Source organism: Homo sapiens, chromosome Y (genome assembly GCF_000001405.40).
Source record: "Homo sapiens chromosome Y, GRCh38.p14 Primary Assembly".
Classification (NCBI taxonomy): Eukaryota; Metazoa; Chordata; class Mammalia; order Primates; family Hominidae; genus Homo; species Homo sapiens.
Genome location: NC_000024.10, coordinates 56,865,456 through 56,882,857, shown reverse-complemented (window position 1 = coordinate 56,882,857; position 17,402 = coordinate 56,865,456).

Here is a 17,402-nt window from a genome sequence, read left to right as displayed (position 1 = left end):
CTAATGCTAAATGACGAGTTAATGGGTGCAGCACACCAGCATGGCGCATGTATACATATGTAAGTAATCTGCACATTGTGCACATGTACCCTAAAACTTAAAGTATAATAATAATTTTTAAAAAATCTACTTTCTTCACTCGACTGTAGGGTGGTGGAAGAGGTCAGGGGACCTGTCTGCCCTGTTTGCCATCCTGTTCCTAGTGCCTAACATGGAGTAAACCCTAAACATTCATGGAATGGATAGCACTGCTGTTCACAGATATATGCCTTACCTACTTTCATTTCCTTGAGTGTTGTGGTGGTGTTAAAAAAGAAAGCTATTTTATTCTACGTTATTCTTCAACACAAAGGGCTGTGCTCCAGTGAAATTTGAAGTGCCTTTTGTGGAGTGTACTTTGAGTAAAGTTCATTTAAATCAGGTACTTATAAATGTTAAGTCAATTACAAATATGGTGTCCCATTTTCTTTTCTAACCTAAACTAGATGTTTTAAAAGAGTCTTATTCTATCCGGTAAGAATAAGGAAAGAGGCAAGTAATCTTATTTTTTGGACCAAGGGGCCACGAGGTCATAAGACCTAAAAATCTTTACACTCCCAGGCAACACCTGCTCATTAATTATCTGGGAGACTGGTAAGGATTTAAAATTAATTTTTTCCTTAAGCCCAGGAATCATTTAAAAAATCTGTATAACATTTTTTTCTCATGTAGTCTTAGCCCCAAAGAATATTAAGTCTATCAATTAGGTTATAATTCAAATCTTATCAAGAAATAAATGCTTATATAAATCAAGATTAAAAAAAATTTCAAAGCAGCGTTTTTTAAACAGTCACTTTTTAAAATCCCCATCAAAATGGTAAAATTCATTGTGATCCTGACCTCTGATGCTGTCAGCCACAGGAAGGGGCAAAACAACTTGAGGTTGAAGCCGTGTCTTTCCCAAAGCTCAGGTTCACCAAACATGGTCTCCAGATGGAGTCTGCTCCTCAGAACCTGGGCTTTACTTCTCGATGGGAGAAGGAAGCAGTGTTAAAACTTGTCTATTCTGAACTAGCCAACCAGATTAAAGGAGGGGTTTGTGCATACCAACATCACCCCAGAATGACCTGAATGACTCACTACATGCAGACAGTGGTGCAAACTCATTAACAAGTAAACAACTCACACCAGTGCTCTGTGCTCACAGGGCTGGGGGCATTCCTGGGTATTTTTCTTAAGGGAGGCTGGAAGAAGGGAGGAGGCATTCCTTTCTCCCAGAGGCAAAGGCCAGTTCCTTTTGCTGTGCCCCAGGCCTTTCCTGGTTGTTATAAACTCTTCCAGGCCTTTTCTTGGGAAGGTGCTCTCATCCCCACACTCCTGCCTCCTCCCTCCACCTGTTGTGCACTCCCTGAGAGAAACAAAACAAGTTAATTAGCTTATTCAGCTACTTCGGAAGCTGAGGGGGGAGGACTGCTTGAGCCTAGGAGTTTGGATTCAGCCTGGGCAACATGTCGAGACCCCATCTCTAATTTTTTTTTTAAGTTTTTTTTTTTAATTTAAATTAACATATTCAGGCTAGTGCATGTACTTCCGTTCTCTACTGAAGTAATTCACCCTAAATTGAAACTAGCATTGCTAGTTTAGTGTATTACTCCTCTCTAGGCAGCCTCTCTCTCTCTCTGTATATATTTTGTTTGTTTGTTTGTTTTGTTTTGTTTTGTTTTTTGAGACAGAGTTTCACTCTTGTCGCCCAGGCTGGAGTGCAATGGCACAAGCTAGGCTCACTGCAACCTCCACCTCCTGGGTTCAAGCTATTCTTCTGCCTCAGCCTCCCAAGTAGCTGGGACCACAGAATGTGTGTGACCACACCTGGCTAATTTTTTTATTTTTTTGAACTGGAGTCTCACTTTGCTCCCCAGGCTAGTCTTGCCACTATCCTAGTTTTTCTTCTGTATTATTAGACGGGGTCTCAGTGTCCTTGAACTTCAAGGAATTAACATTGAGTGTAGTATTAGTAAAACTTATCTTCTATTCATGAAAAGTCAATCATTTTTTTAAAAAAAGATCCCACAATTATTATAAGCAGAAACAAATTAAAAGGTTGTATACATACTGCTTGAAAAACACAACTTACCAAAACCAAATATAAGAGTATGTATACCCGTATATTTATGAAATAAATAGAATCCATAATTTAAAACTTCCTCACAAAAACAATCCCCAGTTCCTGATGGCATCACTGGTGAATTCCTCAATGAAAGGGAAAAAATAACACCAACATTACAGATTTTTTTTTAAATCTTAGGGACAGAGTCTCACTATGTTGCCCAGGCTGGAGTCAGTGGCTATTCACAGTCACGTTCCAGTTATCCTCCCACCTCAGCCTCTTGAGTAGATGGGCCTAGAGGATACAGAAACTTTTAAGAGAACAAAAATAAAGGGAACTCCTGAGCTCAAGCACTTCTCCCACCTCGGCCTCCCAAAGTGCTGGGATTACAGGCATGAACCACTGTGTCCCGCTTAGTGTGCTGTTTTTAAAAATGACTTTTGGGCTCGTGTTCATGTGACTGATTAGCCTGTAGTTTTACTTTTTGTAATTTTTTAGACTACTTTTGGTATCAAGTTTATTGTAATCTCAAAAACTGAGCATGGCTCTGTTCCCTTTATTTTTGTTCTCTTAAAATTTCTGGCCAGGTGCAGTGGCTCACACCTGTAATCCCAGCACTTTGGGAGGCCGAGGCGGGCAGATCATGAGGTGAGGAGATCGAGACCATCCTGGCTAACACGGTAAAACCCCGTGTCTGCTAAAAATACAACAACAAACTATTTAGCCGGGTGTGGTGGTGGGTGTCTGTAGTCCCAGCTACCAGGGAGGCTGAGACAGGAGAATGGTGTGAACCCGGGAGGCGGAGTTTGCAGTGAGCTGAGACTGCGCCACTGCACTCCAACCTGGGTGACAGAGCGAGACTCTGTCCCAAAAAAGAAGTTTCTGTAGCCTGTAGTCCCAGCTACTCCGGAGGCTGAAGTAGGAGGATCACTGGAACGTGACTGTCACTTGAGGGTATGATGGTCAGCTGGGTTTCCACCCCTTTGATGCACTTCAAATCCTGTGTATCCCACAAAGACTTGCTCCTTTCTAAAGGCTATGGTTTACGTTCAACAGAATAGCAGCAACCACCATAAGCCTGAAGGCTGGCTAGTCTTTAATATTCTGCCCTATTCAAAGAAATGAGTCTTTCCCTCATTCCTAAGGATCTCCCAGGTCCATTACAAAAAAAGAAGGAGCAGCAAGGTGCAGTGGCTCATGCCTGTAATCCCAGCTCTTTGAGAGGCCAAGGCGGGCGGATAACCTGAGGTGAGGAGTTTGAGACCACCCTGGCCAACATGGTGAAACCGCATCTCTATTAAAACTACAAAAATCAGCTGGGCATGGTGGTGTGTGCCTGTAATCCCAGCTACTAGGGAGGCTGAGGCAGGAGAATTGCTTGAACCTGGGAAGTGGAGGTTGCAGTGAGCCAAGATCATGCCACTGCATTCCAGCCTTGGGGACAGAGCAAGACTGTCTCAAAAAAAAAAAAAAAATTCTTACCTCCTGGAAGTATTTTACTAGTGTTGGTTTCTATTTGACACTAAACACTTCCCCAGGCCAGTGTATTAGCAGTTAGCTCCTTACTGAATATTATCTGTAGCAAACAGTAGCTGACTCCTAGCTCTCTTCAGTGAACTTGAATTGAAATTTATAGAATTCTCATGACTTCTATTTCATCTTGAAACCCAGATATTTCTTCCTTTTCCTAGTGATTTACCTTTCAATTATATGTAGACTGAACCAGTCCCAGCTGTCTTTAGTTGGTCTCTATTCAAACACTGTACTTTTGTTTCTTGATTACATCTTCAATTATTTTAGTTATTTCTGAGATTCTCCCCTGTAATTTCTCCAACTATCTAGGGCATAAAGAGTGCATGAATAACATTATGAAGGCTGTGAGACTTCAAATAAATGAGTAGCCTTTCTGAGTCTCAGTTTTCTCCTCTGTAAACCAGGAATAATTTTCACTGAACAAAGTTGTTCTAAGGATTAGTGAAATGTATGTACAGCCTTTAGCATTTAATAGGTGATCAAATGGTAAGTGATGGTTATAAAATGTTTTTATCATGGTAAAATATACAAAGCATAAAACTTACCAGCCTTTTAATCTAAATTGTCTTATTGTGATAGGCTTGCTTATAGTAAAACAAACTCTTATCTTTTTAGTATCTGTAGGATCTATAGTGATAACTGTTCACTCCTTATATTCTAACTTGTGCCTAATTAGTTAGGCACAACTCTTACTAATTAGTTATCTATTGCTGCATAAGAAATTACCTGAAACTTAATGTCTTCAAACAACAACAAGTATTTATTATCTGTGATAGGCAGACTTCTAAGATGTTTCCCATGATCTCGATGTCCTGGTGTTATACTCTGTATGATCTCTTCCTTTTTTAGTGTGGATGGGATCACTGCCCAAACTTTTGGATGAAATCGAGTGAGTGTGAGAAGGATCTGTGACTTGTTTCTAACTGACATAATATTGCAAATGTGATGGGTTGTTACTCCTGTGATATGTGTGTGTGTGTGTGTGCACACAGAAGAAAGGAGAGAGAAGAGGAGAGGAGGAGGAGAGAGACATACATTAGGATATGAGATAGACATATTGCTGGCATGCACACAAGATTCTCCTTGCTGATTTGATGAAGTGTGTGACCATATTGAGGAAGCCCAACAGCAGGTGGTGTCTAGGACCTGAGGGTGGCCTCCAGCCAATACCCAATAAAAAACATAGCTACACAATCATACAGACATAAGAAAATGAATTTTGTCAACAACCTCAATGAGCTTGAACCTAGCTCAGCTGACACCTTGCCTGCAACCTTGTGAAACCCTATGCAGTGAACCCAGTTGAGTTGTGACCAAATTCCTGACCCACAGAAAATACGAGACAATAAATACGTTTTTTTCCTCCTTTTTTTTTTTTTTTTTTGAGACAGTTTCACTCTTGTTTCCCAGGCTGGAGTGCAGTGGTGCGCTCTCAGCTCCCCACAACCTCTACCTCCCGGGTTCAAGCAATTATCCTGCCTCAGCCTCCCAGGTAGCTGAGATTATAGGCATGTGCCACCACACCCAGCTAATTTTGTATTTTTAGTAGAGATAAGGTTTCTGCATGTTGGTCAGGCTGGTCTTGAACTCCTGACCTCAGGTGATCTGTCTGCCTCGGCCTCCCAAAGGGCTGGGATTACAGGTATGAGCCACGGTAACTGGCCTTTTCTCATATGTTTATAGCAGCACAATCTGCAACTGAAAAAATATGGAATCAGTTCAAATGCCCATTAGTGAACGAATGGATAAAGACAATGTGGTATATATGTAGCATGGAATACTACTCAGCCATAAAAAGAAACAAAATAATGGCATTTGCAGCAATCTGGATGGAATTGGAGACTTGTTCTATGTGAATTAACTCAGGAATGGAAAACCAAATATCATATGTTCTCACTCATAGGTGGGAGCAAAGCTATGAAGATGCAAAGGCATAAGAATGATACAATTGACTCTGGGGACCCAGGGGAAAGGGTGGGAGGGGGATGAGGGAGAAAAGACTACACATTGGGTACAGTGTACCCTGCTCGAGTGATGGGTGCACTAAAATCTCAGAAATCATCACTAAAGAAGTTATTCATGTAACCAAACACCATCTGTTCCCCAAAAACCTATTGAAATAAAAAATAAATTTAAAGAAAAGGAAGTAAAAAAAACACTTAAAAAAGAATAAACATGTATTTTCTTAAATGAAATCCTGACCCACAGAAACTGTATAAGAGAAAATATACTAGACAATATATGTATATTTCCTGAGATGTTCATTTGTTGTACAACAATAGCAAACTAATATAGAGCTTCTGTGGTTCCTGATTTGAGAAATGCTTTAGCTAGGTTGTTCTGTCTTGGTCAATATGTTGATTAGGCCTGCAGTCATCCAAAGGCTTGACTGAGACTAGGGCATCCAATTTCAAGACGGCTCACTTAACATGGCTAGCAAGTCAATGCTGTCTGTTAGCAGGACACCTCTGTAATGTAATGCATTAAGCTCTGTAGGGTTGCTTGAATGTCCTTGCAGTATGGTAGCTACTTTCACCCAGGGTGAACAAGGTGGAAGCTGCCATGTGTTTTATAATCTAGCCTAGGAAATTTGAACTAGCTTTTTGATAACACAGGTTAGCCATATTTAATATGAGAGAGAACTGCACAAGGCATGGATAGCGGAAGTGAAAATCACTGGGGGCCATTTTGGAGGCTGGCTGCCACAGAGATTAGCAACTGGAATACTGTTTTCAAAGAAACAGCTTTGGCTTTTTATATTTTCTCTATTATGTCTTTGGTTTTTTTTTTTTTCATTGATTTCAGCTTTTATCCTTATTATTTCCATCATTTTAATTTCATTCAGCTTAATTTGCTGGGATTTTTGAGATGGATGCATAGATCATTGGAGTTTTTTCTTTTTCTTTTTTTTGAGACAGGGTCTTACTGTGTCACTCAGGCTATAGTGCAGTGATGAATCATAGCTCATAGCAGCCTTAAATTACTGAGCTCAAGTGATCCAATCCTCCCTCCTCAGCCTTCCAAGTAGCTGGGACCACAGGTGTGTGTCACCATGCCCAATTAATTTTTTTTTTTTTTTTTTTTTTTTTTTTTTTTTTTTTTTTTTTTTTTTTTGCTGTGACAGGTCTCACTATGTTGCCTGGGCTGGTATTGAAGTTCTGGCCTCAAGCAAACCTCCTGCCTTGGCCTTCCAAAATGTTGGGATTATACATGTGAGCCACCACACCTATCATATCAGTTTTTCAGTACTTTTTTTGTTTTGTTTTCAAATACATGTGTTTACGATTATAGATTCCCCCCACCCCAGATTTAGTCACATCCCACAAGTTTTCTACTTTTGTAAAATATTATTGAAGTATAATATACCTGAGAGAAAGTGTGCCATCTTAAAGGTACAAGTGGGTGAATTATCACAATGTAAATAAACCTCTGTAACTAGCACCAAGATAAAAAAAAACTAGTAGTTATTTAAACCTAGGTTTGATAATATTACCAATGACTTTAAAGTTCATGTCTGATAATTCTAATACCTGAAGCACTTGTGGGTTTGTTTCTTTTTTCTGTTTTTTATTTTGCTCATAGTTTTCAGTCACTTGATCATATATCCTGGCATTCCTGGTAACATATACATACTTCTCATTTTTAAAAATTGTACAGCTCTAGCATAAAGAGTCTTACAATGGGAACTTATCCCCCATCTATAACTTTTTTTACACTTTGTTTTCTTTTTACTCTTTCTAGACTTTATTATTTTACTTTTTGGATAAGTAATATAGTTACAAGTTTCTAAGATAAAAAATTATGAAAGAGTGTTAGTGAAAAGTCTCATTCTTGCAATGCCAGCACCCTCTTCCTGTCCTACAGGTAACCACCATGATTAATTTCTGGTATATCATTCCAGAGATAGTTTAATCCTCATATATACAAGCAAATTATGTATACTGCATTCCTGTGTCTGTTCTGTACTTTGCTTTTTTCACCTAACATTATATTTTGGTGAGTTTTCTGTTTAGTACATAATACATTTTCTCATATTTTAAACAACTGTATTCTGTTGTATGAATTTATCATAATGTATTGAATCATTCCACTGCTGATGGACATCCAGTTTGTTTCCAGACGTTTGCTATTGTGATAGGCTGAATAAAAGATGTCCACAGGCCGGGAGCGGTGGCTCAAGCCTGTAATCCCAGCACTTTGGGAGGCTGAGGTGGGCGGATCATGAGGTTAGGAGATTGAGACCATCCTGGCTAACACAGTGAAACGCCATCTCTACTAAAAACACAAAAAATTAGCCGGGTGTGGTGGCATGCGCCTGTAGTCCCAGCTACTTGTGAGGCTAAGGCAGGAGAATTACTTGAACCCGGGAGGCAGAGGTTGTAGTGAACAGAGATTGCACCACTGCACTCCAGCCTGGGTGACACAGTGAGACTGTCTTTCCAAAAAAAAAAAGATGTCCACATTCAAATCCCTGAATCTAGGAATATATTACTTTACATAGCCAAAGGGGCCTTGGGAGTAAGGATTGTGAGATGGGCAGAGGAGCGTGTATCATCCAGGTGGGCACAATGGAATCAATCACAAGCGTCCTTATAAGCGGGAAGAAGAAGCGTCAGACTCAGGCGATACGAAGATGGAAGTGGTGATTGCAGTGATATACGATCAAAAGCCAAGGTATGTGGAAAGCCGTCAGCAGAAGGAAGAGGCATGGAAACGGGCTCTCCCCTGGAGCCTCCAGAAGGAACCAGCCTTTGATTTTAGCTCCGCAAGACGCGTTTCAGACTTCTGACCTCCAGGCTTATAATAAGATAAGTTTCTGTTGTTTTAAGCTGCTACATTTGTGGTAACTGATTATAGCAGCAATAGGAAACTTAGAAGAGCTATTTTTACAATTATAAGCAAAGCTGCAAGAAACAATGTGTATCTGACATTTTGCATTTGGGCAAGTATATCTGCAAAATAAATGTCTAGATGTGGACTAGGTGGTTAGTTTTGATAATTGTTAAATCACTCTCCTCTAGACGGGTTATACCAGTTTATACTTCTAGCAGCAATGTGAGTGAATACCTCTTTCCCACAGCCTTCTCAACTCAGTGTGTTATCAAACTTAGAATTTTTACTGTTCTGCTAGTAAAAAGCCCTAATTTCTTTGGATAACTTACTAATTATTGAGTCTTCCTCATCTGCACAACATGGTTAGAAGCTCCTTCAGAGTTATGTCTGGGTCCTTATTTCTATTTTTTTCTACACTGCATACCTTTGTGTCCTTCCTGTTAACCTTACATAGGGCGGGCTCCCTGCACAGAAGGAGGAGACGATATACTCAACGGCATCTGTGCGTGATAGAGGGGAAAAAAATGCGATGTAGAATCCATTCTATCCATCTATCAAGTTCCGTTTAGGAAAACAAAATATCCTAATCACAATAATTGACTAGTGAAGACTGAAGAAGCGGTTGCCTAGCAATGCCCTGATCGTTTTTGATGTTGACTGGTTGACATAAGGCGGGATCAACAAACACACAGCACATGTGTGGCCCTGGCAGCTGATTCAGATCCTTCCCACTAAGGTCAACATTACCCAGGCTCTTGGAGGCAACCACTCCTCATTGATTATTTGCACATGAGATAAACCTGTTTGTTTTACCATACTGAAGGACTAACAGAATCACAAACTGTAACTCAAGTGCTTTTCCAATGAAGAGTGAAATAGGAAAGAACGAAAATAACATATATCTACCCCCTCCTCCTCTTCCTTTAGCTTGGGTTCATCATTATCTCCATTTCTCCATTTTATTTTTGTTTCCTTTTTATTGGCACCACCCAAGTATACTTGTGTGTGTGTGTGTGTGTGTGTGTGTGTGTGTGTGTGTGTTTGATATTAAAACTTTAGGGAAAGAAACAGCTCTCTTAAAAATGTCAGCAACTTCAATTCATTGCTTTTTAAATATCCTGGTTAATAATTTACACCTTTGGTTAAAATATTCAATCATCTACTTAATATATAGTGCTTAGCTTTGTTTTTATTTTATTTTTTGAGACAGTCTTGTTAGCTGTGTTGTCCAGGCTGGAGTGCAGTGGCCCAATCTTGGCTCACTGCAACCTCCACCTCCTGGGTTTAAGCAACTCTCATGCCTCAGCCTCCCGAGTAGCTGGGATTACAGGTGCCCACCACCACGCCCAGCTAATTGTGTTTTTAGTGGAGACGGGCTTTCACCATGTTAGCCAGGCAGGTCTCAAACTCCTGACCTCAAGTGATCCGCCCGTCTCGGCCTCCCAAAGTGTTGGGATTACACGCGTAAGCCATCGCGTCCAGCCTAGTGCTTAGCTTTAATGTGAATCAGTGTTAGCATACATATTCAGAATTCTTTCAACCTCAAACCACAAAACTTAATTATGTATCATGGAAATACAAATCAGAACAAAAATCTATTGACTGTGAGCCCACATAACGTAATTTTTGTTTCCTGAAAACAGAAGTATGCAAGTGGATGAGGCCTTTTAAGGGAACCTTGTGGCTTCTCAGTCCTTGCTGTTCTGAATTGGTGATTATCCACAGAAATGACCAACAGGTGATTGTAAAGATACTGGTAATTCTCCGCTCTTATCTGATTGCACCTACACTTTGCTTGTTGCTCATTCTGCATAACATCTAAATGCTGCGTGACACCTAAACCCTTTAGTAGTCGGCCAAAAGGAGGAACGAGGGCGTGTTTATGAAACAGACAGCTGTCGTGAGTCCTGGCGCTCAGCTTCATTCACTAATCAGTTGTCAGTTGGCAACTTGATTACAGATAACTTCAGTGTGAGTCAGGCTCGTTTGCCACAGCTGTTTCCCTTAAAAGTTCTCTGATAAGTCATTGCCACCACTACTTCCAAATAGCGTATGTTAACTTTGAGTTAATTTTAGATAACCTCGGGTTAATTTAAACAATTTTGGCACCAACAACATGTTTAGGCTAGGCAGCATGGATGGGTATAGGAATCCGTCAATCTGGGTTGCTGTGTACCAGCTCTGGGACTGGGGGCAAGTTGTAGCAGCCCTGAGCCTCCTGCTTCACCTGTATCAGGGGAGGCTGAGACCCACCTTGCAGGGGTCTTGTGAAGATTAAATGCAATGCTGTGTGAATGGTGCCTACCTTCGTGCCTGGTCTGTCAAGACCAGGCAGTTTACACAAAAACACTTGATATTGACTATGAAACAAGATCCAGAAGAGAACAAATATAAATACAGATGGATCAGCTAAATGAAGGACTGCCGAGTAAAAACACAAAGAGGATGTTTGTGAGTGGAGGGGGATGGATCTCCTTCTCCACCCAGCAGTGAATATCATGGGAATCTCTCTCTACCTGAATCTACCTCTTATAATTCTTAAATTAAGAACCATTAGAACTCTTCTAAGCTTTCTAAATACTCATTACAGTATGAAACCCTGCCCACCTCCCAGACAACTTCCTATGGACATTCGATTTTTTAAACATAGGATATGTTAAGTGATGGTCTTCATTCCTCGATGTCACATTTTAAATTTGTATTACTTTTTCTTCATTTTCCAAAGCTCCAGCTCAGCATCTTTGTATGCCTCTCATATATATATATATATATATTTTTTTTTAAAGTCTCAGTAGCCTTTTTAATGTGTCGATTTCTACACCCCAGCCTCAGGTAGTATAAGCTTCATGAGGACAGGAACCAGCCCTGCCTGCTCACACTGTCACCAGCATGTTCACAGGGCCGACACATGCCAGGCACTCAGGTATTAGTTGAATAGGTAAATGGAAGACTGGAAAATGTAGGCTGAACTGAGAACTTGTGGATAGACACACCTCAGTGATTTGTGAAAAGGAAGATTGGTCCAAAGCAATGTTTGTTAACCAAATTTTCATTATCAAAGAGGAAAAACTAAACATTCCCTAACAGAAATGAAAAAGGAATAAAATTTTTGTTAGATGATGTTGAGCTTTGAAATGCCACCAAGGACACTTTCAATATCAAATCTTCTCATCCACCCAACTCCAGAAAACTAGTTTTTGCTCAGGTACTGGCTCAGTGGAAAATGTGTGGTCTGAAGCTGTAGTCTCCTAGTTTGTGAGTCTCCTTATTTTCACTGCCTGAAGGTTTGAGTCACCGTGGAAGGGGAGGAGGGGTGGTGGAGATCAGAAGTGAGGTCTGTGAACTCTGGAGTTGACTTAGGTGCAGAGAGGATGAGGTAGAACTGCTGGCAGGGAGGCCCCATCTGATCCAAGAGTGAGCTCGGCAGGCAGAAAGCACTTGGCAAAGCCCAGGGAATGGTTGGGAGAGACTGATAGACCCAGCACTCCTATTCCTTGAGGCCGGTCAGTGATGTGTATTAACCTAGGGTGGCTCTAACTTTAATGTGTCAGTGAAAGGGATCCGGCTACAACTCCACACTCCTGAGGTGGGGCCCAGTGGAATGCATTTCTGTCAAAAATACTGTGAGGGAGCGCCAGGCTGCTCCTTCCACAGGCCATACTTTGAGAAGCATGGCATTAACTCACCTGTGCATGTTATATTTGTTAAAGGGTAACTTTTCAAAAACAGGAAAAACTATCACTCATATAGATATAAATGTTAAATATTTTATTAATGAAGTGAGCAGTGAGATGTTACAACCAGTTCAAAAGGGAACCCAAAGGGACGGACACATCTATTACTCAGAATATTGAAATAAACTGGAAATTGATGCATAAGTGGCTTTGCCACATGGAGAAGGATTGGCTTTCCAAGGCAGGTTGATTTGCATATTTATAAACAAGAATCATTTGCATTATCAGTTCTTTTCAACTTCACATACCATAAAACAGGTGAAAGGCTAGACTAGAAAACCTTAAAGGCGCTGGGTGCAGTGGCTCACTCCTGTTATCCCAGCACTTTGGGAGGTTGAGGTAGACAGATCTCTTGACCCCAGGAGTTCAAGACCAGCCTGAGCAACATAGACCCTCTCTCTACAAAAAAAGTTTCCAAAAATTAGCTGAGCATGATGGCATGAGCCTGTAGTCCCAGCTACTCAGGAGGCTGAGGTGGGAGAATCCCTTGAGCCAGGGAAGTGGAGGTTGCTGTGAGCCAGGATCATACCCTTGCATTCCAGTCTGGGTGATGGAGGGAGATCCTATCTCAAAAGTCTGAAGGAGTGTGATCTAAACAATGTAGTGTTTCCACTGAAGCACAGATGTTTTCCCTGTGATTTGTAGTGATTGGCATTTTTAAACTGCAGATTGCTGTCTATATTAACTTGACAGTTTGTAATAACTGCTTGAGATTAGCAGTTTGTCTTTCTTCAGTTAATTGTCATATTTAGCTCCTCTGTGTAATATGAGAAAGTAATGAGAATTTTTTTTTCTTTTTAGACGGAGTCTTGCTCTGTCACCAGGCTAGAGTGCAGTAGTGGTGCAATCTCAGCTCACTGCAACCTCTGCCTCCTGGCTTCAAGTTATTCTCCTGCCTCAGCCTCCCAAGTAGCTGGGACTACAGGTGCATGCCACCATGCCCAGCTAATTTTTGCATTTTTGGTAGAGATGGGTTTTACCATGTTGGCCAGGATGGTCTCGATCTCTTGACCTTGTGATCTGCCTGCCTTGGCCTCCCAAAGTGCTGGGATTACAGGCATGAGCCACCACACCCAGACATGAGAGCTCTTAAATAGAATTTCCATCTATAAAAAGTAGGTACTGTCAGTATTCCCCTCACATAGGTTTATGAAGAAGTCATTTTAAAAAGAGAACCCCTGTAATTGATCAAGGACCCCATCTGCCTTCTCTGTGGGCCTAGGATAAATTCTTTTGATTGTTTATGTCTATTTGGTGTAAAAAGATCTGTAGTTAAAATATACCATTGCATTATCCATAATAGCCAAAAGGTGGAAGCAAGCCAAGAGTCTATCTGCAAATGAATAAAAAAATATGGTATATATACACTATATGCAGTAGAATACTATTCAGGCTTACAGAGAAAGGCAATTCTGACACATGCTACACCATGGATGAACATGGAAGACATTATGCCACATGAAATAAACCAGTCACCAAAGAACAAGTATTTTATGTGATCAGCTTCTTGATAATCTCCAAAATAGCCACCTTAGCATATTGAATGTTTGAAGCTGAAGGAAACTCAGAAATGATAGGAAGGACACTCTGACCTTCTCACCCTCTTCTCTGATGCAGGTCACAAGGCCCTTGGGTGAGAGGTGCCGTCCCTGTCCCTGGAGGAAGGAGCATCTTTGTCTCTTAAGATAACGCTGAGAGGAATCTGAATGATAGTTCCTGCTGTTCCTCCCAGTTTACTACACTTAGCTCCTAACCCTTTTTGTCCTCTCGCAATTTTCTGCTTCTCTCCACTCTTTATCAAACTGTTAAAAATTATGGGAGGTCATTCTTTTGGGCTGAGCCCCTGCACTAGCCTTCAACAGATCAGACCAAACCAAAATGGAATTACTTATGCTAAATGCTGTGTCATCAAACTGAAACTTTAAGGAAGCAGATCCCCAAACAGACCAGTTTTTCCTGAAAACATGAGATTCCAGTCTACTTAAATCAGTGGAAGAAGGAAGTGCCCTCTGCTTTAACCATTAAAAAAAGTAACTGAAGTAGCTTGATGTTAACCAATCAGGTTTTTCTATTCTGTTTCCTTGTTGCTACCTCATAAAACCTGTGGTTCTGCTATTGCCCAGTGGGAACTCTCATTCTGTTTTGTAGAGTGGAAGGTGCCCAGATTCATGAATCATGAATAAAAGCCAATTAAATCTATAAATTTGTTGTAGTCCTCTGATAATATAAAACCTAATTTGTTGTAATTTAGTCTTTTGACAAACCTAATATACAAAGACATATGTTTAACTGTTTCTTCAGGTCTTTATTTCCTTACAAAGGCTCCTAGTTATATCAAGTTACTTCCAGAAAAGTCAATTTTTTCTGTGTCATATAAAACTTATGTTAAGTAAATGTGTATGCTTTTCTCTTGTTAATCTGTCTTTTGTTAAAAGATCCCCAGCCAAGAAATTAGAAGGGTGGAGGAAAAATATTTTTCCTCCCTTATATATGATTCCACTTATATGAGATATCTAGATCAGTAAAATTCATAGAAACAAAGTAGGATAGTCAGGCTCAGTGGCTCATTCCTGTAATCCCAACATCTTGGAAGGATAAGGCAGGAGGATCACTTCAGCCCAAGAGTTCAAGACCAGGCTAGACAACATAGGGAGACCTCATCTCTACTTTAAAAAGAAAAGTCAGGTGTGGTGGAACATACCTGTAGTCCCAACTACTGGGGAGGCTGAGGTGGGTTGGATCACTCGAATCTGGGAGTTCAAGCTTTCAGTGAACTATGATCATGCCACTGTACTCCAACCTGGGCGACAGAGAGACCCTGTCAGAAAAAAGAAAAAAAAAAAGGTAGTTTGGTGGTTGCCAGAGGCTGGGGTAGAGAGGCATGAGGGCTTATTGCTTACTGGGTACAGAGTTTCACTCGGGATGATGAAAATGTTCTGGAGATGGATGGTGGTGATGGTTGTACAACAACATGAATGCACTTAATGCCAATAACTGCACACTTAAGACTGGTTAAAATCGGGCTGGGCACGGTGGCTCACACCTGTAATCCCAGCACTTTGGGAGGCTGAGGCAGGAGAATCCTTGAACCTGGGAGGCAGAGTTTGCAGTGAGCCGAGATCGCGCCACTACTGCACTCCAGTCTGGTGACAGAGCAAGCCTCCATCTCAAAAAAAAAAATATATATATATATATATATATATATATATACTTTACTATGATAAAGACATTTTATAAACACCATTTACCATTTGATCACCTATTAAGCTAAAGGCTGCACATACATTTCACTAATCCTTAGAACAACTTTGTTCAGTAAAAATTATTCCTGGTTTACAGAGGAGAAAACTGAGGCTCAGAAAGGCTACTCATTTATTTGAAGTCTCACAGCCTTCATAATGTTATTCATGCACTCTTTATGCCCTAGATAGTTGGAGAAATTACAGGGGAGAATCTCAGAAATAACTAAAATAATTGAAGATGTAATCAAGAAACAAAAGTACAGTGTTTGAATAGAGACCAACTAAAGACAGCTGGGACTGGTTCAGTCTGCCTATAATTGAAAGGTAAATCACTAGGAAAGGGAAGGAGTCTCTGGGTTTCAAGATGAAATAGAAGTCATGAGAATTCTATAAATTTCAATTCAAGTTCACTGAAGAGAGCTAGGAGTCAGCTACTGTTTGCTGCAGATAATATTCAGTAAGGAGCTAACTGCTAATGCACTGGCCTGGGGAAGTGTTTAGTGTCAAATAGAAACCAACACTAGTAAAATACTTCCAGGAGGTAAGAATTTTTTTTTTCTTTTGAGACAGGGTCTTGCTCTGTCCCACAGGCTGGAATGCAGTGGCATGATCTTGGCTCACTGCAACCTCCACTTCCTGGGTTCAAGCAATTCTCCTGCCTCAGCCTCCCTAGTAGCTGGGATTACAGGCACACACCACGAAACCCGGCTGATTTTTGTATTTTTAGTAGAGTCGGGGTTTCACCATGCTTGCCAGGCTGGTCTTGAACTCTCGACCTCAGGTGTTCCTCCCCCCTTGCCCTCTCAAAATACTGGGATTACAGGTGTGAGCCACTGCCCCTGGCTGCTGCTCCTTTTTTTGTAATGGACATGGGAGTTCTTTAGGAATGAGGGAAATGATCGTTTCTTTGAATAAGGCAGAATACTAAAGACTAGCCAGCCCTCAGGCTCATGGTGGTTGCTGCTATTCTGTTGAACGTGAACCATAGCCTTTAGAAAGGAGCAAGTCTTTGTGGAAGACACAGGATTTGAAGTGCAACAAAGGGGTGGAAACCCAGCTGACCATGATACCTTCAAGTGAGTTTTTCCACTGAATTTGATTATTTTCTCATTTGGCACTTCTTTCTGGGTTTTTTAAGCAGCCCAAAAACTCTAGGATATTTTACTTTTGTAATTGTATTCTCTTGGGAATGCTCATTCCTGATTCCTCATTTCACCAAATAAGTGTGTAACCTTCTTGTTTCTGCCCATAATAATTCTGGAGTCTTTAAACAAAACGACTGTGACTTTTCATGATGAGTAGAAGATAGGTTTTACTCATGCTACAATCAATATTAATTCCTTACAGTTCAAAGACACTGAGGCCCTGTCTAATAATATAGAAGTTGAACTTGGACTTGGGAGATGACTCCTGCCTCTCGTACTCTCTGTGGCTCTGCTTTCTATTATTTTACTCATAAGCTTGTTTTGTCTCCTTGCTGAGAATTGTCAAACATGAAATGTAATTTCAGGTTATAGTGAAGAAAGATGACATAGGCAGAAGAAATTGGCAATCATTTGGCCTGTACATCTTGCTTTTTGTTTTTTTTCTGGATTTAAGATATAGACCACACCTTGACATTTCTGGCCTTTGAGTCTTTCACAACTGTTATTATAATGCATTAGCTCTTCTAGAAGTTAGAAGTGACTTTGGATTAAGTCTTTCATAAGGTGGCTAAATGAATTTATATGGCTCATCACAATTCACTAGATTGGTTAAGCAGGAAATTTACAGAGATTTTTTTCTTTGCTGTAAATGTTTTTCTAAATTGAAAAACTTCTAATACTGTCTTCTGGAGTAGTCCTAGAAATAAGTGCAAGTGATTGTTTTTGGCAGGAGGCCACATAAACATTTCTGCTTCTCTGTGCCTTATGGGTAGCATTGATATAAATTGTTAAAAATAATGATTGTAGATAGATAATGTGTCAGAGTTTG